We start from the raw sequence: 23,053 nt of genomic DNA on the forward strand, positions 1-23,053 counted from the left end.
GACACAGCAAGACTCCGTCTCGAAAAAGAAAAAAAGAGAAAAAAAAGTACACAAATGTATTTTTAACAGTACTATTCACAATTGCCAAAAAGTGAAAACAACCCAAATGTTCACCACTAATGAATGGGTAAACAAAATGTAGCATAGCCATATAATGGAGTATCATTCAGTTATAAAAAGGAATGAAGTACTGATTCATGCTACACAGCAAGAACCTTTTGGAAACAGTACAGTGAGTGAAAGATGCCAGGCACAAAAGGTTACATATTGTAGGATTCCTGAAATATCCATAACAGGCAGATCCATAGAGACAGAGAGTAGATGAGTGGCTTCCAGGGGCAAAAGTGGCGGGGGGTGGGCAGGAGCATGGGGAATGATAGGTAATGGATTTCTTTTGGGGGGGGGGGGTGGAAATGTCCTAAAATTGGTTGCAGTGATGGCTGCAAATCTCTGTAAATACATTTAAAAACTGATGATTGTATCATGTATAACAACGTTTATCTCAAAGCTATTATTTTCTTAAAAAGATGTTTGGTAGGATTTTACAATAATAGTATGCTCAAATTATACATAATTGATATTCAATAAACGTGGAGGATGAACACGCTAATAATAAAGACTACGCATATTAAAGTCATTATACAAATATCTTTCAGTCTTTCCTTGTACATAGTAAGGGCTCAAGGACTAATTGTAGAGACAGATTGGCCAATCATGCACACATAAAATCAAAATATTTAAAAATGTGTTCAATGTTTAAAAAAAAACTTAACAGGTTTTTATTGACAACATGAGATTCACATTAAGAAATGCTACCCATATGTGTTTATTGCCCACTTCATATCCCTCTTGAAAATACTTTTGGCAGGTCAGGGTTGAACCACAGCGCAAAGCCACTCACCGCACTTCAAACTGCTAAGTGGGAAATGTCCAGTAGTGCATGGAAACACACTGCATGCCAGGCTGCTCGGACTAATAAGTTTACTACAACACCGAGGGACCCCAGCGTTATCTTAGTTGAAACTCACATTCCTTGTAAGTCACTACCGAACAATTATGTCCACGGCTAACAACATTTTTAAAGCGGGATTATTTGCATTTGGCATTACGGCATGCAAAATTCTTGCTCAATTACTTCTCCCGTTTATTCATTGAGACTATTTAAGGTGCTCTTCTAGGCACAAGATACAACAGAATAAAACAGGCAAAGCCAAGCAAACAAAACCCTGCCCTCATCCAACTTACATTCTGGTTTTGTTTTTTGTTTTGGGACGGAGTTTCGCTCTTATTGACCAGACTGGAGTGCAATGGCATGACCTTGGCTCACCGCAACCTCCGCCTCCCGGGTTCAAGCGATTCTCCTGCCTCAGCCTCCCGAGTAGCTGGGATTACAGGCATGCGCCACTATGCCCGGCTAATTTTGTATTTTTAATAGAGACGTGGTTTCTCCATGTTTGTCAGGCTGGTGTCGAACTTTTGACCCCAGGTGATCTGCCCGCCTCGGCCTCTCAAAGTGCTGGGATCACAGGCGTGAGCCACCACGCCCGGCGCATTCTGCTTTTTTTTTTTTTAAGTTAACAAGGAAATTTTATCTTTCCAAACTCATCTCTTATGTATTAAATGTCAGCACCAGCAAGGAATTCCCCACAATTCTCACCTCGCAAATGTACACTCTTTTCTAGACACCAAAAATCACAAAGATTTATGAAACATTAGGAGCTCCAATGACAAGCTTATCTTTCCTTTTTACAGATTTGCCAGGAACATAAAGACAAACATGGTCTACTCTACAAGTTTATTCAAAATCAGAAACCAAAACATTTTACATTCACAAAATACAACACACTATACAGTAGGTTGTCAGAAGCAGATTTAACAGCCCAGGGTCTTCAAATCACTGAGGTGCCAAATGGTTTTTTGCTTTAAAAACAAAACAGGCCGGGCGCAGTGGCTCATGCCTGTAAACCCAGTACTTTGGGAGGCCGAGGCTGGCGGATCACGAGATCAGGAGATCGAGACCATACTGGCCAATATGATGAAACCCCGTCTCTACTAAAAATACAAAAATTAGCTGGGCGTGGCGGCGCGTGCCTGTAATCCCAGCTACTCGGGAGGCTGAGGCAGGAGACTCGCTTGAACCCAGGAGGCAGAGGTTGCAGTGAGCCGAGATCGCACCACTGCACTCCAGCCTGTCGACTGACTTCAGACTCTCTCAAAAAAATAAAAAATAAAAACAAAACAAAATTCAATCTCTTAAATCTGTAAATCTGAAGTCATTCAATAACCTGAATTGTGAAACAAGAAAATATTGTTACCCCCACCTCCTAAAGCAAAAGTGCAATTTAGTACAAAGATCACAACAACTGGCTCAAAAAGGCAACTTTTAGAAACAAAGTCTAAATTCCTTTAAACAATTCAATAATTTAGTGGAAATGTTACTAAGTGGCCAATGATTCTCGTTATTCTTAGCTAAAAATTTTCCCTCGCTGTCCTCCAGACTAGCGAAGCTAGGCATATAGCACCCCAGAACAGCCAAACAATCCTTAAAACTCAGCAGCTACCTTCTTATCTTTCATCCGTAGGCAAAGTTCCTTATCTTCAGCAATTCCACTGGGCTGACTGCTAGCAAGATACTCGGAGGTGGACTCGACTCCTTCCAATTAAGACCAACTAAAGCCATTCTGAGACCGGCTAACTCCAGTTTGAGCCTTTAAGATACTATGTTTCCTACCAAAGAAAGAGGTATGGTGGATAACAGAGCAGCAATACATTTTGTTTCAGATTAGGCTTTGCCTTCTCCATTTGATCAATGGAAACCCTGAGTGGTTTATCTTTCCCTGGCTGAAGTTTTTGGGGGGAAGCGCTTGGTTATCTACAACGCATCAGTGATAAGATAAAAAGATAAAAAACATAATCCCCACCCAAATTAAACCGAAATAAATGCTTTATGAAATTATTGGCGGCCGGGAACGGTGGCTCATGCCTGTAATCCCAACACTTTGGGAAGCCGAGGAGGATGGAACACCTGAGGTCAGGAGTTCGAGACCAGCCTGGCCAACATGGTGAAACCCGCGTCTCTCCTAAAAATGCAAAAATTAGCTAGATGTGGTGGCGGGCGCCTGTAGTCCCAGCTACTCGAGAGGCTGAGACAGGAGAATCGCTTGAACCCAGGAGGCAGAGGTTGCAGTGAGCCGAGATCGCGCCACTGCACTACAGCCTGGGCGACAGAGCGAGACTCCATCTAAAAGTATATGTATATATTGGCAAGATCATAAAACAGATTGTGCCATCAAAAACTTTCTTGAAATTAAAAACACATTCATAAATCCTTTTGAGTATCGCTTTCTTTACAACTTCCAAAGACGGTAGGGAACTTGACAGCTCCATTCACAAAAAACTCCCGACCATTGTTACAGCCCCAAAGAGCCACTGGCTTACGAGGTAAACTGCGACTTGGTTTTTGGAACCACGGACTGGTAGAGCCCTGTCGAAGGTAAGCAAAGACATTCCAATTCTCGTGAGGCATACATTCCAAGGGGTCACTAGCATCCAACACACACGCAGAGAAATGAACCCAAGACCAGACACCCCACCAGGCTGCACGAAACGTAAACAAGTAAACAAGCAAATAAAAATCTTAAAAAAACAAAGCGTAGTCTTGAGTAAAAGGGAGGTCAGCCACCCAGGAGAAGCACATGACTCATGCACCGGCCTGAACTAAAGTATTTACACCGTCCACTACAACAGAGTGGGGTTTCCCATCTTCAAGCAAACCCAAGCCTTGGGGGCATCTCAGCCGAGTGAAGCCATGCTATTTCCGTTTGGGAGGAGGGGGATCATTTTATTTCGCTGAATCACAACTCCCCCACATCCCCACCCCAAATCACCACAATCACCACCACCACACAACACTGCAAATAAAATAGGCCGTTGCAAGGACGCCGGCGAGCACGGACCGAGCAAAACAAAGCGCCCAGCAAGGGGCTGCCAGGCTGAGAGTGGGTGCGTCAAGCGGGCCAAGCTCGCCTCCAGGGCACCGCTCCCGCCCTGAGGCCTGGCCTCAGACCGGCGTGCAGCCGCAGCCACCTCCCTCCGCAGGGGACCTGCCCCTTTCTCCGCAGCACTCCGGGGACCGCCGGGAAGGTGAAGAGATGGGGGTGGGGGCGCGCTGCCCCGGCCCAGGCAAAACGACCTGGGTGCCAGAAGGAGAGCGCGCCGGCCCCGGCCCACGTGAGCGCCGCGGCCGAGCCCGCCTAGAGGACCGCGGACCGGGACAGCTGCGCTCGCGGCCCCCGCGCCAGGCCGGGACTTACCCGGGCCGGGCGCGCCGCGGACCCCGCGGCGGCCGCTTCCTCCTCCTCCTCCTCCTCCTCACTTAACAAAATGGCGGCGGCAGGAAGTGCCGGGCGCCTCGGCCCGCCCCCCGCCCGCCCCCGACCGCCGGCCCCGCCGCGGCGCCCGCGCCCCCCACCCGCGCCCCGCCGGCCAGCCCAAGCCCGGGTCCGACGGCACCAAAGGCAGGACAGCCGCGAGCGACCCCGCCGCCCCGACACCAACGGCGCAGGCCGCCCCGGCCCGGAACGAACGGCGCGGGAGGCCCGCAGGCCCGAGCCCGCGTAGCCCCGGCCTCCCCGCCCCCGCGCCGCGCGGATGGCGTAGGTGGCGGCGCCCCGGCCCCATTACGCAATGCAGGTTACGCGGACCGCGCCGCGAGCCTCCGCCAGCCGCCCAGTGTCGTCCGCCGCCCCAAAGGGCACCAGTCCTCACCTGAGACGCTAGGCCGCACGCCGCCCCCGCCGGCCGTCCGCCCGCTGCCGCCGCCCCCTCCCCGAGCTGCCTGCGCGGCGCCGGGGCCCGCCCGCCGCTCTGCCGAGCTCACAGGCCGCGCTCGCCCGCGGGCACCGCCGGCAGCCGCCGCAGCCGCTGCCGCCGCCACTGCTTCGGCTCCTCGGCTGCGGGAGACCAGAACAAACAGCCCAGCCGCCGCCGCCGCCGCCGCCGCCGCCGCCAGCGCACTGACGTCACCGCGCACGCTGCGCGCGCGGCCCCGCGCCGCCGCCGCCCGGTGTGCGCGCCCCGCCCCCGCGCCCAGCGCGAACGAGCTCTGGAGAGACAGTGGCTGCGAGGTGAGTGGGGGATACCGCGGACTGAGGGAGGAGACCCCGCAGAGCGAAGGAGCGGGCTGGGGGAAACGGGCGGACTGCAGGCTGGGCCTGCGGGAAAAGATCTGAAGGCTGAGAGAGACATCCAAAATACTAAGAAAGGTCTGAAGACAGACCCTCACAGGGAGGGAGGATGGTGAGGAGGGACCCCACAGACTGATGGAGGAGGCGGAGGAGAGAGCCCTAAGGGGGGACCCCAGGTAGGGAGGCTGAGGCGAGAGAGCTGCGATGGGGGCGCCGGGGCTGGGGTGAAGTGGAGGAAAGGAGGTGAGAGGAGGCTGCGAGCAAGGCCGAGGCGGATCCTCCTTGGCTGCCCCTGGGCAGGGAGGTAGCACCTTTCTCCTCTTATGCCCCCCTGTTGATCTTCTTCCAACCCACCTTTTTAAAAAAAGGGACATGGTCTTGCTCTGTCCCCCAGGCTGGAGTGCAGTAGTGCAGTCATAGCTCACTGCAGCCTCAACCTGCTGGCCTCAAGCGATCCTCCTGCTTCAGCCTCCCAAGTAGCTGGGACTACAGGTGTGCACCACCACACCCAGCTAACTATTTTTTGTAGAGATGGGATCTCACGATGTTGGCCAGGCTGGTCTCTGTCTCCTGGACTCAAGCGATCCTCCTGCCTCGACCTCCCAAAGTGCTAGTATTACAGGCGTGAGCCACCGCGCCCAGCTCCTTCCCATCCTTAAGACTCAACCCCAAGTCAGACCAGGCTCGGTGGCTCACACCTGTAATCTCAGCACTTTGGGAGGCAGAGGCAGGAGGTTGGCTTGAGGCCAGGGGTTGGAGACCATCCTAGCCAACAGAGTGAAACCTCGCCTCTACTAAAAATACAAAAATTAGCCCCGTGTGGGCCGGGCGCAGTGGCTCACGCCTGTAATCCCAGCACTTTGGGAGGCGGGCAGATCACGAGGTAAGGAGATCGAGACCATCCTGGCTAAGACGGTGAAACCCCGTCTCTACTAAAAATACAAAAAATTAGCCGGGTGTGGTGGTGGGCGCCTGTAGTCCCAGCTACTCGAGAGACTGAGGCAGGAGAATGGCGTGAACCCGGGAGGCGGAGCTTGCTGTGAGCGGAGATCGCGCCCCTGCACTCCAGCCTGTGCGACAGAGCGAGACTCCGTCTCAAAAAAAAAAAAAAAAAATTAGCCGGGTGTGGTGGCGCATGCCTGTAATCCCATGCCTGTAATGCCAGCTACTCAGGAGGCTAAGGCAGAAGAATCACTTGAACCCGGGAGGCGTAGGTTGCAGTGAGCCGAGATTGTGCCACTGCACTCTAGCCTGGGCGACAGAGCAAGGCTCTGTCTCCAAAAAAGAAAAAGACTCAACCCTAAGTCAGCTCCAGGACGTATGTGCCTACTCTACATGTGTGAGTCCGAGGGGAAAAAACATCATATGACCTCTTCTAGGGCTTCCAAAGCACCCCACCTGGCCACGGAAGAGCTTAGTAAACATGGGGTAGTTTTGAGATTGCTAAAAGGAGGAAGTTAGGCATATGTCTCTTGTAGCTTAAAATAATACTGTGAAATTTTTCAAACCTGGAAACAACCACTTCTCTTTCCTTTTATATATATATATATTTTTTTTTTTAAGACAAGATCTTGCTCTGTCACCCAGGCTGGAGTGCAGTGGCTGGATCATAGCTCACTGTAACCTCAAACTCTCAGTCTCAAGTGATCCTCCCACGTCAGCCTCTTTAGTAGCTGGGACCACAGGTGTGCGCCACCGTGCCCAGCTAATTTTTGTATTTTTGTGGAGAGGAGGTCTCACCATGTTGCCCAGACTGGTCTTGAATTCCTGGGCTCAAGCGATCCACCTCCCTCAGCCTCCCAAAGTGCTGGAACTACAGGCGTGAGCCACCGCACCCAGGCCATTCTCTTAGCATTTTGTATTCCCATCTTTTAAAAATGGAAAGCAGGCTGGGCGCGGTGGCTCACACCTGTAATCCCAGCACTTTGGGAGGTCGAGGCAGGTGGATCACCTGAGGTCAGGAGTTCTAGACCAGCCTGGCCAACATGGTGAAACTTCGACTCTACTAAAAATATAAAAATTAGCCAGGTATGGTAGCGGGTGCCTGTAATCCTAGCTACTTTGGAGGCTGAGGCAGGAGAATCACTTGAACCCAAGAGGCAGAGGTGGCAGTGAGCTGAGATCGTGCCACTCCACTCCAGCCTGGGCGACAGTGAGACTCCATCTCAAAAAAAAAAAAAAAAAAAAAAGGAAAGCAAACTCAGTTCTAAAAAGTCTACATGGGGCCAGGCACAGTGGCTCACACCTGTAATCCTAGCACTTTGGGAGGCCAATGCGGGTAGATTACCTGAGGTCAGGAGTTTGAGACCAACCTGGGCAACATGGTGAAACCCCGTCTCTACTAAAAATACAAACAAAATTAGCCGGGTGTGGTGGCGGGCACCTGTAGTCCCAGCTACTCAGGAGGCCGAGGCAGGAGAATCGCTTGAACCTGGGAGGTGGAGGTTGCAGTGAGCCAAGATCATGCCACTGCACTCCAGCCTGGGTGACAGGGCAAAACTCCGTCTCAAAAAAAAAAACAAAAAAGTCTGCGTGGTATTTTTTTTTTAAGTCCAAGTAATGAAACATTTCCTGATGGCCCATGGTTTCAGAATATATGGATATAATAGGATACCAGTAAAATAGTTCTTTTCTATCATGTGTTTGCTCATGCTTAACCAGGGGCAATCATAAATCACTAATGGGTCCTAAGCAAAGTTAAAAATTAAATTTTTTCATTCATTCATGTATCTATGTATTAATTTATTCATTTATGACAGGGTCTTGCTCTGTTGCCCAGGCTGGAGTGCAGTGTTGCATTCATGGTTCACCAAAGGCTGGAGTGCAGTGTTGCATTCATGGTTCACCGAAGCCTCGACCTCCTAGGCTCATTCAATCCTCCCACCTCAGCCTCCCGAGTAGCTGGGACTACAGGCATGTGCCACTACACCCAGCTAAGTTTTTAAATTGTAGTTGGCTGGGCGCAGTGGCTCACGCCTGTAATGCCAGTACTTTGGGAGGCTGAGGCGGGTGGATCACCTGAGGTCGGTAGTTTGAGAGCAGCCTGGCCAACATGGTGAACACACTAGTCTGTACTACAAATACAAAAATTAAAGGCCGGGTGCAGTGGCTCATGCCTGTAATCTCAGCACTTTGGGAGGCCGAGGCAGGTGGATCACCTGAGGTCCGGAATTCACAACTAGCCTGGCCAAGGTGGTGAAACCTCATCTGTACTAAAAATAGAAAAAATTTGCGGGGCTTGGTGACAGGTGCCTGTAATCCCACCTACTCAGGAGGCTGAGGCAGAAGAATCACTTGAACCCAGGAAGCGGAGGTTGCAGTGAGCAGAGATTGCGGAGGTGGAGGATACAGTAGTGAGCGGAGATCGCGCCATTGCACTCCAGCCTGGGCAACAAGAGTCAAACTCTGTCTCAAAAAAAAAAAAAAAAATTAGCCAGGCATAGTGTTGCATGCCTGTAATCTGAGCCACTTGGGAGGCTGAGGCAGGATAATCACTTGAGCCTGCTTAAGAGGTGGAGGTTGCAGTGAGCCAAGGTCGCACCACTGGACTCCAGCCTGGGTGACAGAGCAAGACTCTGTCTCGAAAAAAAAAAAAATTTGTAGCCATAGGATCTCACTGTCTTGGCCAAGCTGATCTCAAACTCTTGGCCTCAAGTGATTCTTCTGCCTTGGCCTAACCCTTTATTTTTAACAAAGCATGAGAAAACAAGTTATTAGCTGCAAGAAATAAAGGATGTAATTGTAACTCCTTCATTGAAACTTCCTTCTAACTCTGTATTACAGAATATTGAAATTTGTGAATATCTTCTGGCTCCTAATTTTGCACCCCTGGCAATTATGCAGAAGATGATCAGAAATGGAAAAAGAGCAGGAGGGTACCCAGGGCTTTGTGAATAGGTATTAACAACTGGTTTGTTGTTACTGGGTTTTTTGTTTGTTTGTTTTTTTAAGGAAACCAGAATGTATCTATTTTAAGCTCTCCTTCCCTATAGTTATCTTGTCTTGCTGCATTATCCACTTAATTTATCATTGTTGGCCAGGCGCGGTGGCTCACGCCTGTAATCCCAGAACTTTGGGAGGCTGAGGCGGGCAGATCACGAGGTCAGGAGATCGAGACTATCCTGGCTAACATGGTGAAACCCCATCTCTACTAAAAATACAAAAATTAGCCAGACATGGTGGTGAGTGCCTGTAGTCCCAGCTACTCGGGAGGTTGAGGCAGGAGAATGTCATGAACCCGGGAGGTGGAGGTTGCAGTGAGCCGAGATCGTGCCACTGCACTCCAGCCTGGGTGGACAGAGCGAGGCTCCATCTCGAAAAAAAAAAATTATCATTGTTGTTGACAATAAATGTTTTTGGAAGTAATTTGGAACTGTTGGTTTGCAAATCACATAATAAAAGCCCTCACTTTACTGTAGAGTCACACTTAACATTAGACAAAACTATATATCTAGATTGATAACTAGACCGAACTAGGTGGCTTTTGGCCATTGCTACAAATTAAATCCAACCTGGAAAAAATATTCAGGCTGTAAAGGCAGTTCCAAAAGCTGTCTCCAAAAATCGTTTGGGACAACAATGTCTCATTCTTTTTGTCTTCCATGGTGCTTTGCCTAACTCCTCGAAGATAGCTCAAACTCAGAAAATGTTTATCTGGTTGAGTCACTTTAATAAAAATAGTCTTGTTACCTCATGGTTCACATGTTATTTATTTATTTATGAAACAGTCTCACTCTGTCGCCTGGGCTGGAGTGCAATGGCATGATCTCGGCTCACTGCAACCTCCACCTCCTGGGTTCAAGAGATTCTCGTGCCTCAGCCTCCTGAGTAGCTGGAATTACTGGCATGTGCCACCACGTCCGGCTAATTGTTTTGTATTTTTAGTAGAGACGAGGTTTCACCATGTTGGCCAGGCTGGTCTCGAACTCCTGGCCTTAAGTGATCTGCCCACCTCGGCCTCCCAAAGTGCTGGGATTACAGGCTTGAGCCATGGCACCTGGCTTATTTATTTATTTATTAAGTTATAAAGACAAGATCTCACCCTGTCACCCATGCTGGAGTGCAGTGGCATAATCATAGCTCACTGAAGCCTCACCCTTCTCCACTCAAGCAATTCTCCCACCTCAGCCTCCTGAGTACATATGACTACACCCATGCCCCACCACACTTGGCTTTTTTTTTTATTTATTTTTTTTGTTTGTTTGTGTTTTGTAGCAATAAGGTTTCACTATATTGCTCAAGCTAGAATGCAGTGGCTATTCATAGACACAATCATGTCTGACTATAGCCTTGAACTCCTGGGCGCAAGCAATCCTCCTACCTCAACCTCCTGAGTAGCTGGGACTATAGCTGCCTGCCCAGCTTAGATTTTAATTCTATGCATCAATGTGTATCAATGTATAGAAATAGTTATGTTATTTAAACAAAAGGGATCATCCTATATCTGTTGCTTTTTGCTGTTTTCTTTTTTTTAGACAGAGTCTTGCTCTGTCACCCAGGCTGGAGTGCAGTGGTGCGATCTCGGCTCACTGCAACCTCTGCCTCCAGCTTCAAGCGATTCTCATGCCCCTGCCTCCCAAGTATCTGGGACTACAGACATGCGCCACCACAGCTATTTAATTTTAATATTTTTACTAGAGACACGGTTTCACCATGTTGGCCCGACTGGTCTCAGAATCCTGGCCCTAAATGATCCGCCCACCTCCGCCTCCCAAAGTGTTGGGATTACAGGCATGAGCTACCGTACCCAGCCAGCTTTTTTAATTTAATACATACAGCCCAGAACTCCTAGACTCAAGCGATCCTCCCAGTCCACCTCAGCATACCAAATAGCTGGGACTACAGGTGCATGCCACTGTGTCTGGCTGGAAGTCATTTCACGTGAATACTCTGAGATCTGCCTTATTGGAGATGATGTCAGGATCACATACAGTATGTTATCTATCTCAGATAACATGGTGGCTCATGCCTGTAATCCCAGCACTTTGGGAGACTGAGGCAGGTGGATCATTTGAGGTCAGGAATTTCGAGACCAGCCTGGCCAACATGGTGAAACCCCGTCCCTACTAAAAAAACACAAAAATTAGCCAAGTGTGGCGGTGCACACCTGTTGTCCCAGCTACACGGGAGGCTAAGGCACAAGAATCACTTGAACCCAGGAGGTGGAGGTTGCAGTGAGCTAAGATTGCGCCACTGCACTCCAGCCTGGGAGACAGAGCAAGACTCCGTTTAAAAAAAAAAACAAAAAAAACACTAAACTAAAAAACGAAGGAAAAAGAAAACATGGAGTTGTTCCTTTGGCCACATGCATGCAAATCTGTAAGAAAAGTAATGTTGTAGACATCAAGGGAATGGGTACTGTTCACAAAGGAATGCCCCACAACTGTTATCATGCAAAACTGGAAGAGTCTACAGTATTACCAAGCATGCTGTTGGGATTCTTCTAAACGGACAAGTTAAGGGCAAAATTCTTGCCAAGAGAATTCATGTACGTATTGAGCACATTATTCACTCTAAGAGGTCAGGAGTTCAAGACCAGCCTGACCAACATGGTGAAACCTTGTCTCTACTAAAGATATAAAAATTAGGTGGGCATGATGGTAGGCATATGTAATCTCAGCTACTCAGGAGGCTGAGGCAGGAGAATCACTTGAACCTGGGAGGCGAAGGTTGCAGTGAGCCAAGATCACGCCACTGTACTCCAGCCTGGGCAACAGAACGAGATACCGTCTCAAAAAATAAAAATAAAAAATAAAAGATCAATAGACTGTTTAAAAAAAAAAAAACAAGGATAAATTTATATAGCATGTTCAGCTCTGAAAACATCAGAAAGGTTGGGTGTGGTGGCTCACACCTGTAAAACCAGCACTTTGGGAGGCCGAGGAGGGTGGATCACTTGAATCCAGGAGTTTAAGACCAGTCTGGCCAACATGGCGAAATGCCACCTCTACAGAAAATACAAAAGAAATTAGCTGGGTATGGTGGTGCATGCCTGTCATCCCAGCTATTTGGGAAGCTGAGGTGGGAGGATCATCGGAGCCTGGGAGGTAGAAGTTGCAGTGAGCCACAATTGAGCCTCTGCACTCCAGACTGGGCAATGGAGTGAGACCTTGTCTCAAAAAAAAAAAAAAAAAAAAGGGAAAAAGAGGCCGGGCTCCGTGGCTCACACCTGTAATTGCAGCACTTTGGGAGGCCAAGGTGGGTGGATCACCTGAGGTCAGAAGTTCGAGACCAGTCTTGCCAACATGGTGAAACCCGATCTCTAATAAAAATACAAAAATTAGCCGGTCGTGGTGGTGTGTGCCTGTAATCCCAGCTACTTGGGAGGCTGAAGCAGGAGAATCGCTTGAACCCGGGAGGTGGAGTTTGCAGTGAGCAGAGATCGCACCACTGCACTGCAGCCTGGGAGACAGAGCAAGATTCCGTCTCAAAAAAAAAAAAAAAAAAAAAAAAGGAGCTGGAGGATTTGTGTCTTGTATCAATGCCCACTTTCCAATGGGAACTTGCCCACAAAGTTACATTCTAGAATTTATAGTTAGACCTAGAGAAGGCAAGTGAGTCACCCAAGGTCACACATTTACACAGAGTTGAGAACCTAGATATCCTGACTCTGTAAAGATTGCTTGCATTTTTTTCCCCTAGCCCAGGGGTTGACAAACTTTTTCTGGAAAGAGCCAAATACTCAACATTTTAGGCTTAGAGGGCCATACAATCTCTATAACATGGCCAATTTTTTAAAAATTTTTTTGAGACAGAGTCTTGCCGCGTTGCCCAGGCTGGAGTGCAGTGGTGTGATCTCAGCTCACTGCAACCTCTGCCTCCCAGGTTCAAGTAGTTTTCATGCCGTGGTCTCCCAGGAAGCTGGAATTACAGGCATGTGCCACCATGCCCAGCTAATTTTTGTATTTTTATTAGAAACAGGGTTTCACCATGTTGCCCAGGCTGCTCTTGAACTCCTGACCTCAGGTGATCTGCCCGCCTCAGGTTCCCAAAGTGCTGGGGTTACAGATATGAGCCCTACAGCGCCCGGCCTTTTTTTTTTCTTTTAGTCAGGGTCTCATTCTCTCACCCAGGCTGCAGTTGCAGTGGTACCATCAGGGCTCACTGCAGCCTCAACCTCCTAGGCTCAAGCCATCCTCTTGCCTCAGCCTTCCAAGTTGTTGGGACTGTAGGCACATGCTACCATGCTGGGCTGTTTTGTTTTTGTTTTTGTTTTTGTTTTTTTGAGATGGAGTTTCACTCTGTCACCTAGGCTGGAGTGCAGTGGCGTGTGTCTCAGCGCACTTCAACCTCTGCCTCCCGGGTTCAAATGATTCTCCTGCCTCAGGCTCTGGAGTAGTTGGGACTATAGGCGTGTGCCACCACACCCAGCTAATTTTTGTATTTTTAGTAGAGACAGGGTTTCACTATGTTGGCCAGGCTGGTCTTGAACTCCTGACCTCGTGATCTGCCTGCCTCGGCCTCCCAAAGTGCTGGGATTACAGGCAGGAGCCACTGTGCCCAGCTGTTTTTTTTTTTCATTATTTTTAGTAGACATGGGGGTCTCATTTAAGTTGCCCAGTGTGGTCTCGAACTCCTGGGCTCAAATGATCCTCTTGCCTTGGCCTTCCAAAGTGTTGGGATTACAGGTGTGAGCCACTGAGTCCAGCTACACTGTTAATTTTTGTAGCTGTACCATTGTGGCACAAAAACAGCCATAGATAATATGTAAACATATGGCATGACTGGCAATAAAATGTTACGGATACTAAAATGAGAGTTTCGTATACATTTCATGAGTCACAAAATGTCATTATTTTGACTTTTGTCAACCTTTTATTTATTTATTTATTTATTTATTTATTTATTTATTTATTTTTTAGACGGAGTTTCGCTCTTGTTGCCCAGGCTGGAGTGTGGTGGCGCGATCTCGGCTCACCGCAACCTCTGCCTCCCGGGTTCAAGCAATTCTCCTACCTCATCTTCCCAAGTAGCTGGGATTACAGGCATGCGCTATCACACCCGGCTAATTTTTTATTTTTAGTAGAGATGGGGTTTCTCCATGTTGGCCAGGCTGGTCTTGAACTCCTGAGCACAGGTGATCGCCCACCTCGGCCTCCCAAAGTGCTGGGATTACAGGCATGAGCCACCGCGCCCGGCTGTCAGCCTTTTAAAAAATATAAAAACCATTCCTCACTGGAAGGCTGTTCAAAAACGGTGGCTGAGATTTGTCTTGTAGGCCATATAGTTTGCTCGTCCCAGTTCTAGACTCTCAAGCCTAGAGAAGCAGAAATTTCTTTACATGCATCTTTTTTATTTGTTTGTTTAAGACAGGGTCTCTCGGCTGGGCACAGTGGCTCACGCCTGTAATCCCAGCACTTTGGAGGCTGAGGTGGGCAGATCACGAGGTCAGGAGATCGAGACCATCCTGGCTAACACGGTGAAACCCCGTCTCTACTAAAAATACAAAAAATTAGCCGGGCGTGGTGGCGGATGCCTGTAGTCCCAGCTACTTGGGAGGCTGAGGCAGGAGAATGGCATGAACCCGGGAGGCAGAGCTTGCAGTGAGCCGAGATAGCACCACTGCAGTCCGGCCTGGGCAAAAGAGTGAGACTCCGTCTCAAAAAAAAAAAAAAAAAAAGACAGGGTCTCTCTGTCACCCAGGCTGGAGTGCAGTGGCACGATCACTGCAGCCTTGACCTCCTGGACTCAAGCAATCCTCCTGCCTCAGCCTCCTGTGTAACTGGAACCATACACAGGTGCATGCCACCACAATGGGCTAACTTTTGCATTTTTTATTGTGACGGGGTTTTACCATATTGCCCAGGCTGGTCTTGAACTCCTGGGCTCAAGAGATCCTCCCACCTCAACTTCCCAAAGTGCTGAGCTTGCAGGCATGAGCCACTGTGCCCAGCCTACAAGTCTCATTTCTGTAATGATACAGAAGCTACTCTGCTATAATTTTTAAAAAATTAATAGACTATTTTGTTAGCAGTTTTAGGTTTACATAAAAATTGAGGCCAGGTGCAGTGGCTCACGCCTGTAATCCCAGCACTTTGGGAAGCTGAGCCAGGTGGATCACCTGAGGTCAGGAGTTTGAGACCACCCTGGGCAACATGGCAAAACCCTGTCTCTACTAAAAATACAAAAAATTAGCCGGGCATGGTGGCGCGCACCTGTAATACCAGCTACTTGGGAGGCTAAGGCAGGAGAATTACTTGAACTCAGGAGGAGGAGGTTGCGGTGAGCCGAGATCGCGCCACTGCACTCTAGCCTGGGCAACAGAGCGAGACTCAATCTCAAAAAAAAAAAAAAAATTGAAGCTGGGCGTGGTGGCTCACACCTGTAATCCCAGCACTTTGGGAGGCTGAGGCGGGTGGATCACCTGAGGTCAGGAATTCGAGACCAGCCTGCCCAACATGAAACCCCGTCTCTACTAAAAATACAAAAATATTAGTCAGGTGCGGTGGCACACACCTGTACTCCCAGCTATTCAGGAAGCTGAGGCAGGAGAATCGCTTGAACCCAGGAGGCAGAGGTTGCAGTGAGCCAAGATCGCGCCATTGCACTCCAGCCTGGGCAACAAGAGCAAAACTCCATCTCAAAAAAAAAAAAAAATTGAGTGGAAAGTACGATTCCCATATATGCCCTTACTACTACCCTCCACCCCATTTTCCCCAATCTCAGCATTAACATTAGTGTGCTACATTTGTTACAGCTGATGAGCCAGTATAGATCCAATACCGATACATTATTAACTAATACCTGTACTTTACATTAGGGTTCATTCACTCTGTGTTGTATATTCTATGGGTTTTGACAAATGTATAAACACATGTAGGCCGGACATGGTGGCTCATGCCTGTAATCCTAACACTTTAGGAGGCCGAGGACGGGGGATCACTAGAGCCCAGGAGGTCGAGACCGTCATGGGCAACATGGTGAAACCTCATCTCTGCAAAAATACAGAAAATTAGCCAGCTATGGTGTCACATCCCTGTAGTCCCAGCTACTTGGGAGGCTGAGGTGGGAGGATCACCTGAGCCTGAGAGGTCCAGGCTGCAGTGAGCCAAGATCACACCGCTGTATTCCAGCCTGGGCAATAGAGTGAGACCCTGTCTCAAAAAGTGAAAATAAAGACATGTATATACTATTATGCTTGCCAGTTTGTTTATTTGTTTTGCTTTGAGACAGGGTCTTGCGCTGTTGCCCAGGCTGGACTGCAGTGGCATGGTCGCAGCACACTGCAGCCTCAACCTGCTGGGCTCAAGCGATCCTCCTGCCTCAGCCTCTCAAGTAGCTGGGATTATAGGTGTGTGCCATCATGCCTGGCAATTTTTTTCTTTTTTTTAGTAGAGATGAGGTCTCCCTATGTTGCCTAGTCTGGTCTCAAACTCCTGGACTCAAGTGATCCTCACCAAAGCCTCCCAAAGTGCAAAGATTATAGGCGTGAGCCACCATGCGTCCGGCTTGCTTGCCGTTGTTTTTGTTTGTTTGTTTTGTTTTGTTTTGTTTTTGAGACGGAGTTTCACTCTTGTTGCCCAGGCTGGAGTGCAATGCCGTGATCTTGGCTCACCACAACCTCCGCCTCCCGGGTTCAAGCGATTCTCCTGCCTCAGCCTCCGGAGTAGCTGGGATTACCAAGTAGCTGGGATTACAGGCATGCGCTACCATGCCAGGGTAAGTTTTATATTTTTAGTAGAACTGGGATTTCACCATGTTGACCAGGCTGGTCTCAAATTCCTGACCTCAAGTGATCCACCCACCTCAGCCTCCCAGGGTGCTGGGATTACAGGCGTGAACCACTGCACCCAGCCTGCATTTTTTTTACAAACAGATTTTCGCCATGTTGCCTACACTAGTCTCAAACCCCTGGGCTCATGTGATCCTCCTACCTCGGCCTCCCAAAGTGCTGGAATTAAAGGTGTAAGCCACCGTGCCCATCCAGTTGACAAAGTTTATTTCTTTTTTTTTCTTTTGAGAGAGAGTTTCACTGTTGTTGCCCAGGCTGGAGTGCAGTGGCGTGAACTTGGCTCACTGCAACCTCTGCCCCCCAGGTTCAAGCCATTCTCCTGCCTCAGCTTCCTGAATAGCTGGGATTACAGGCATGTGCCACAACACCTGGCTAATTTTGTGTTTTTAGTAGAGACGGGGTTTCTCCATGTTGGTCAGGCTGGTCTCGAACTCCCAGACTCAGGTAATCCTCCCGCCTCAGCCTCCCAAAGTGCTGGGATTACAGGCATGAGCCACTGCGCCTGGCCGACAAAGTGTATTTCAAACACTGCGGAGAATTGTTGTGGTCTTAATTCATTTGGGGTAATCGGTATTGTCATTCTCATTGTCCTCTTGTGAGGAGGAATTAGGAACTTATGTCTCTCTAGGGAGGCTACAGTTTTCCTTTTGGGGACCATTGTAGTAGAGAATTCTCACATTCACACATTTCATTTCCCTAAAGTTAGTCACCGGCCCATGTGGGTAATCTCTAAAGAGGACAACAAGTATTTAGCAGTTATTTCAGAGATAATTTTCTGCCAGCAAATATGGGAAACTTGCATGCATTTTTGAACTCTGCCTCTTCACATCTATTTAGAGAAATGTTCCCAAGTCTTTGTAGGCATCTGAGAAGCCAAAATCCCCAGGCATTTCCCACAGGGCAGGATCGGTTGTCGTTTTGAGTGGGTAGCGATGGGCTGGGTGGCCTATTAAGTGAAAACATGGTGATCTGTGCACCCACAATGCCTAGGCCCTGCAGACACAAATGCCCAACTTGTTGACCTGTGACTCAGACTTAGACCCGAAAAGGAGATGTTATATACACTCTGTTCTTTATTGAAATAATCCAGCTTGAATGAGTTGGCTGGAAATATAGGATTTGTAGGAATAAACGGTCTTCCACATCAACATAATGGAATTCAGTTGAGAGGAATATTACTGGGGATGTAAATATGCTTTAAACACAGGCTCGCGGTGGCTCACACCTGAAATTCCAGCACTTCCGGAAGCTGAGGCAGGCGATCACTTGAGGTCGGGAGTTGGAGACCAGCCTGGCCAACATGGCGAAACCACATCTCTACTAAAAGTACAAAAAAATTAGCTGGCTATGGTGGTATGTGCCTGCAATCCTAGCTACTCGGGAGGATGAGGCAGGAGAATCGCTTGAACCCAGGAGGCGGAGGTTGCAGTGAGCCGAGATCGTGCCATTACACTCCAGCCTGGGAGACAGAGCAGCACTCCGTCTCAAAAAAAAAAAAAAAAAAAAAGAAAAGAAAAGAAAAAAAAAAGAGGCTGGGTGCCATGGCTCACACCTGTAATCCCATCACCTTGGGAGAAGTTTCTCTTAAGCCCAGGAGTTTGAGACCAGCCTGGGCAACATGGAGAAACCCTGTCTCTACAAAATATACAAAAATTAGCAGGGCGTGGTGGTGCATGCCTGTAGTCCCAGCTACTCAGGAGGCTGAGATGGGAGGATCACTTAAGCCTAGGAGATTGAGGCTGCAGTGGGCTATGGTTGTGCCACTGCACTCCAGTCTGGGCAACAGAGCAAGACCCTGTCTCAAAAAAATAAAAAAAAGAAAAGAATAAAAGTGTTACAACAATGCCAGCACTGTACTGGAAGACAGTAATCAAAGAAGTAAAACTGTATCTATTCACAGATGATGTGATTTTATAGATACGAAATCCTGAAGAACACACACACACACACACACATACACACACAAACTTATTAGAGCTAATACATTCCACAAAATTAGCATCCATGATCAACACACAAAAACCTCTTACTTGTATTTCTGTACACTGGCAACGAACAACCCAAAAATGAAATTAAAAACATTCTCGGCCAGATGCAGTGGCTTACGCCTATAATCCCAGCATTTTGGGAGGCTGAGGCGAGCAGATTGCCTGAGGTCAGGAGTTCGAGACCATCCTGGCCAACATGGTGAACCTCTGTCTCTACTGAAAATAAAAAAATTAGCCAGGCGTGGTGGCAGGTGCCTGTAATCCCAGCTACTCAGCAGGCTGAGACAGGAGAATCACTTGTACCCGGGAAGCGGAGGTTGCAGTGAGCCGAGATTGTGCCATTGCACTGCAGCCTGGGCGACAAGAGTGAGACTTTGTCTCAACAACAACAACAAAAAAATTATCAGGCAGACCCCCTGAGTACAAACAAAAAATTTTTTTTTTGAGACGGAGTCTCACTCTGTCGCCCAGGCTGTAGTGCAGTGGCGCGATCTCGGCTCACTGCAAGCTCTGCCTCCCGGGTTCACGCCATTCTCCTGCCTCAGCCTCTCAAGTAGCTGGGACTACAGGCACCCGCCACCACGCCCGGCTAATTTTTTTGTATTTTTAGTAGAGACGGGGTTTCACCGTGTTAGCCAGGATGGTCTATGATCTCCTGACCTCGTGATCCGCCCGCCTCAGCCTCCCAAAGTGCTGGGATTACAGGCGTGAGCCACCGCACCCGGCCCAAAATTTTTAATTAAAAATGTTTTAAATAGGCTGGGTTCAGTGGCTTTCACCTGTAATCCCAGCACTTTGGGAAGCCGAGGCGGGCTGATCACTTGGTATCAGGAGTTTAAGACCAGCCTGGCCAACATGGTGAAACCCTGTCACTACTAAAAATACAAAAATTAGCTGGGTGTGGTGGCATGCACCAGTAATCCCAGCTACTCAGACGTTGAGGCAGGAGAATCGCTTGAACCCGGGAGGCTGAGGTTACAGTGAGCCAAGATCACACCATTGCACTCCAGCCTGGGCAACAGAATGAGGCTGCGTCTCAAAAAAAAAAAAAAATTTATGGTAGCTCACACCTGTAATCCTACCACTTTGGGAGGCCGGGGTGGGTGGATCACGAGGTCAAGAGTTCAAGACCAGCCTGGCCAACATGGTGAAACCCCGTCTCTACTAAAAATACAAAAGTTAGCTGGGCATGGTGGTGTGCGCCTGTAATCTCAGCTACTCGGGAGGCTAAGGCGAAGAATTGCTTAACTGGGACCCAGGAGGCAGAGGTTGCAGTGAACCAAGATTATGCTGGCACTGCACTCCAACCTGGGCTGCAGAGCAAGACTCTGTCTCAAAAAAAAAATTTTTTTAGTCCGGGCACGGTGGCTCACCCCCGAAATCCCAGCACTTTGGGAGGCTGAGGGCAGATCATGAGGTGAAGAGATCGAGACCATCTGGCCAACATGGTGAAACCCTGTCTCTATTAAAAATAGAAAAATTTGCTGGGCGTGCGCCTGTAGTCCCAGCTACTTTGGAGGCTGAGGCAGGAGTATCGTTTGAACCCGGGAGGCGGAGGTTGCAGTGAGCCCAGATTGCACCATTGCACTCCAGCCTGGCGACAGGGCAAGATTCTGTCTCAAAAAAAAAACAAACGAAAGAAATGTTAAAACTTCATTTTACAATAGCATCAAACATATAAAAAATACTTAGGAACAAAAGAGGTCCAAGCCTGGGCACGGTGGCTCACGCCTGTAATTCCAGGACTTTGGGAGGCTGAAGCGGGTGGATCACAGGGTCAAGAGATCGAGACCATCCTTGCCAACATGGCGAAACCCCATCTCTACTAAAAATACAAAAATCAGCTGGGTGGGTACAGTGGCACACGCCTGTAGTCCCAGCTACTCAGGAGACGGAGGCAGGAGAATGGCTTGAACCTGGGAGGCCAAGGTTGCAGCGAGCTGAGATCGCACCACTGCACTCCAGCCTGGTGACAGCGCGACTCCGTCTCAAAAAAAAAAAAAAAAAAAGGCAATATTACCTCAGTTGATCTGTAGATTTCCTGTCTGATATCTCTGTCAGAGTACCAGCTGGGTTTGACAAGATGACCCTAAAGTCCATATAAAAACTCAAGGGCTGGGGCCAGGTGCAGTGGCTCACGCCTGTAATCCAAGCACTTTGGGAGGCCGAGGTGGGCGGATCACCTGAGGTCAGGAGTTCAAAACCTGCCTGACCAATATGGCAAAACGCCATCTCTACTAAAAATAACAAAAATTAGCTGGTTGTGGTAGCACGTGCCTGTAATCCCAGCTACTCTGGGGGTTGAGGCAGGGGAATCGCTTGAACGTGGGAGGTGGAGGTTGCAGTGAGCTGAGATCGCGCCACTGCACTCCGCATTGTTGACAGAGCGAGACTCTGTCTCAAAAAAAAAAAAAAAAAAGGCCTGGTGCGGTGGCTCACACCTGTAATCCAAGCACTTTGGGAGGCCAAGGCGGGTGGACCACGAGGCCAGGAGATCGAGACCATCCTCACTAACACAGTGAAACCCCGTCTCTACTAAAAATACAAAAAATTAGTGGGGTGTGGTGGCAGGCACCTGTAGTCCCAGCTATTCGGGAGACTGAGGAAGGAGAATGGCGTGAACCTGGGAGGCGGAGCTTGCAGTGAGCCGAGATCACGTCACTGCACTCCAGCTTGGGCAACAGAGAGAGACTCCGTCTCAAAAAAAACAAAAAACAAAAAACAGGGACACAGAATAACCAAAACAATCTTGAAAAAGAGGAACAAAGTCGGAGGAGTCACAGTTCCTTATTTATTTTATTTATTCATGTTTTTATTGTTATTGAGATGGAGTCTCACTCTGTCGCCCAGGCTGGAGTGCAGTGGTGCAAGCTCAGCTCAGTACAACCTCCGCCTCCCAGGTTCAAGTGATTGTTCTGCCTCAGCCTCCCAAGTAGCCGGGATTATATGCATGCGCCACCACACCTGGCTAATTTTTATATTTTTAGTAGAGATAGGGTTTCGCCATGTTGGGTGTTGGCCAGGCTGATCTCAAACTCCTGACCTCAGGGGATCCACCTGCCTTGACCTCTCAAAGTGTTGGGATTACAGGCGTGAGCCACTGCACCTGAGCTTGTATTTATTCATCTATTTTATTTATTTATTTATTTGAGATGGAGTCTGGCTCTGTCACCCAGGCTAAAGTGCAGTGGCACGATCTCAGCTCACTGGAACCTCTGCCTCCCAGTTCAAGCAATTCTCTGCCTCAGCCTCCCAAATAACTGGGATTACAGGTGCCTACCACCATGCCCAGCTAATTTTTTTGTATTTTTAGTAGAGACGGGGTGTCACCATCTTGGCCAGGCAGGTCTTGAACTCCTGATCTCATGATCCACCCGCCTTGGCCTCCCAAAGTGCTGGGATTACAGGCGTGAGCCACCATGCCCAGCCTATTTATTTTTCTTGAACACAGTCTCTGTCACTCAGGCTAGAGTGCAGTGGCATGATCTCAGTTCACTGCAACCTCTACCTCCCAGGCTCAGGTGATACTCTCACCTCAGTGTCTCCACTAACTGGAACTTCAGGTGCCCACCACCATGCCCAGCTAATTTTTTGTATTTTTGGTAGAGAAGAGGTTTCACCATGTTGCCCATGCTGGTCCCCAACTCCTGAGCTCAGGTGATCCACCTGCCTCGGCCTCGCAAAGTGCTGGGATTACTGGCATGAGCCACTGTGCCTGGCCGACTTTGAGTTATTTATTATTTTAATTTAATTTTTGAGGCAGAGTGTCGTCACTTTGTTGCCCAGGCTGGGTGGATTACAGGTGGCACGGTATCAGCTCACTGCACCCTCCACCTCCTAGGCTCAAACGATCCTCCCACCTCAGCCTCCCAAGTAGCTGGGATTACAGGTGCATGTCACCATGTCCAGCTAATTTTTTTTGTTGTTGTTGTTGAGACAGAGTTTCACTCTTGTTGCCCAGGCTGGAGTGCAATGGCATGATCTCGGCTCACTGCAACCTCTGCCTCCCTCCTGGGTCCAAGCGATTCTCCTGCTTCAGCCTCTAGAGTAGCTGCGATTACAGGTGCGCACCACATGCCCAGCTAATTTTTTGTATTTTTAGTAGAGACAGGGTTTCACCATGTTGGCCAGGCTGGTCTCGAACTCCT

At 48.8% G+C, this 23,053-nt stretch overlaps 1 protein-coding gene and 1 long non-coding RNA gene across 9 annotated transcripts in view, besides 9 other annotated features; one reads left to right on the top strand and one right to left on the bottom strand.

Moving 5' to 3' along the window:
* BRD4 (bromodomain containing 4) overlaps nucleotides 1-5,017 on the bottom strand; it is a 97,021-nt gene extending 92,004 nt beyond the window's left edge. For 4 of the 7 annotated variants that reach the window (XR_007066712.1, XM_047438540.1, XM_047438543.1 and 1 more), the window contains exon 1: nucleotides 4,314-4,401. The gene's annotated coding sequence lies outside the window, so the exon portion shown is untranslated. Of the gene's footprint in view, nucleotides 1-4,313; nucleotides 4,402-4,767 lie in introns of those variants that run through there. The other 3 variants (NM_001379291.1, NM_001379292.1, NM_001330384.2) reach the window with 1 other exon arrangement.
* Nucleotides 4,017-4,066: a silencer, noted in NCBI's record as "silent region_10270". NCBI's record gives its function as "represses an Ori minimal core promoter by ATAC-STARR-seq in GM12878 lymphoblastoid cells {active_cell/tissue: GM12878}" and the evidence as "EXISTENCE:reporter gene assay evidence [ECO:0000049][PMID:35858748]".
* Nucleotides 4,077-4,226: a silencer, noted in NCBI's record as "silent region_10271". NCBI's record gives its function as "represses an Ori minimal core promoter by ATAC-STARR-seq in GM12878 lymphoblastoid cells {active_cell/tissue: GM12878}" and the evidence as "EXISTENCE:reporter gene assay evidence [ECO:0000049][PMID:35858748]".
* Nucleotides 4,257-4,356: a silencer, noted in NCBI's record as "silent region_10272". NCBI's record gives its function as "represses an Ori minimal core promoter by ATAC-STARR-seq in GM12878 lymphoblastoid cells {active_cell/tissue: GM12878}" and the evidence as "EXISTENCE:reporter gene assay evidence [ECO:0000049][PMID:35858748]".
* Nucleotides 4,557-4,786: a silencer, noted in NCBI's record as "silent region_10273". NCBI's record gives its function as "represses an Ori minimal core promoter by ATAC-STARR-seq in GM12878 lymphoblastoid cells {active_cell/tissue: GM12878}" and the evidence as "EXISTENCE:reporter gene assay evidence [ECO:0000049][PMID:35858748]".
* Nucleotides 5,017-5,116: a silencer, noted in NCBI's record as "silent region_10274". NCBI's record gives its function as "represses an Ori minimal core promoter by ATAC-STARR-seq in GM12878 lymphoblastoid cells {active_cell/tissue: GM12878}" and the evidence as "EXISTENCE:reporter gene assay evidence [ECO:0000049][PMID:35858748]".
* The window catches only part of LOC124904643 (uncharacterized), a 29,522-nt gene continuing 11,559 nt past the window's right edge, over nucleotides 5,091-23,053 (top strand). Inside the window, exons 1-3 of one of the 2 annotated variants that reach the window (XR_007067146.1) lie at nucleotides 5,091-5,126; nucleotides 8,970-9,083; nucleotides 16,710-16,844. This is a non-coding gene — a long non-coding RNA (uncharacterized LOC124904643). Of the gene's footprint in view, nucleotides 5,127-8,969; nucleotides 9,875-16,709; nucleotides 16,845-23,053 lie in introns of those variants that run through there. The other variant, XR_007067145.1, reaches the window with a different exon arrangement.
* Nucleotides 5,257-5,326: a silencer, noted in NCBI's record as "silent region_10275". NCBI's record gives its function as "represses an Ori minimal core promoter by ATAC-STARR-seq in GM12878 lymphoblastoid cells {active_cell/tissue: GM12878}" and the evidence as "EXISTENCE:reporter gene assay evidence [ECO:0000049][PMID:35858748]".
* Nucleotides 5,257-5,899: a biological region, named in NCBI's record as "H3K27ac hESC enhancer GRCh37_chr19:15443616-15444232".
* Nucleotides 5,283-5,899: an enhancer, noted in NCBI's record as "H3K27ac hESC enhancer chr19:15443616-15444232 (GRCh37/hg19 assembly coordinates)". NCBI's record gives its function as "activates a minimal SCP1, AML or CMV promoter by ChIP-STARR-seq in naive H9 embryonic stem cells {active_cell/tissue: H9 hESC(naive)}" and the evidence as "EXISTENCE:reporter gene assay evidence [ECO:0000049][PMID:30033119]".
* Nucleotides 6,784-6,923: a silencer, noted in NCBI's record as "silent region_10276". NCBI's record gives its function as "represses an Ori minimal core promoter by ATAC-STARR-seq in GM12878 lymphoblastoid cells {active_cell/tissue: GM12878}" and the evidence as "EXISTENCE:reporter gene assay evidence [ECO:0000049][PMID:35858748]".

Source organism: Homo sapiens, chromosome 19 (assembly GCF_000001405.40).
Source record: "Homo sapiens chromosome 19, GRCh38.p14 Primary Assembly".
NCBI lineage: Eukaryota > Metazoa > Chordata > Mammalia > Primates > Hominidae > Homo > Homo sapiens.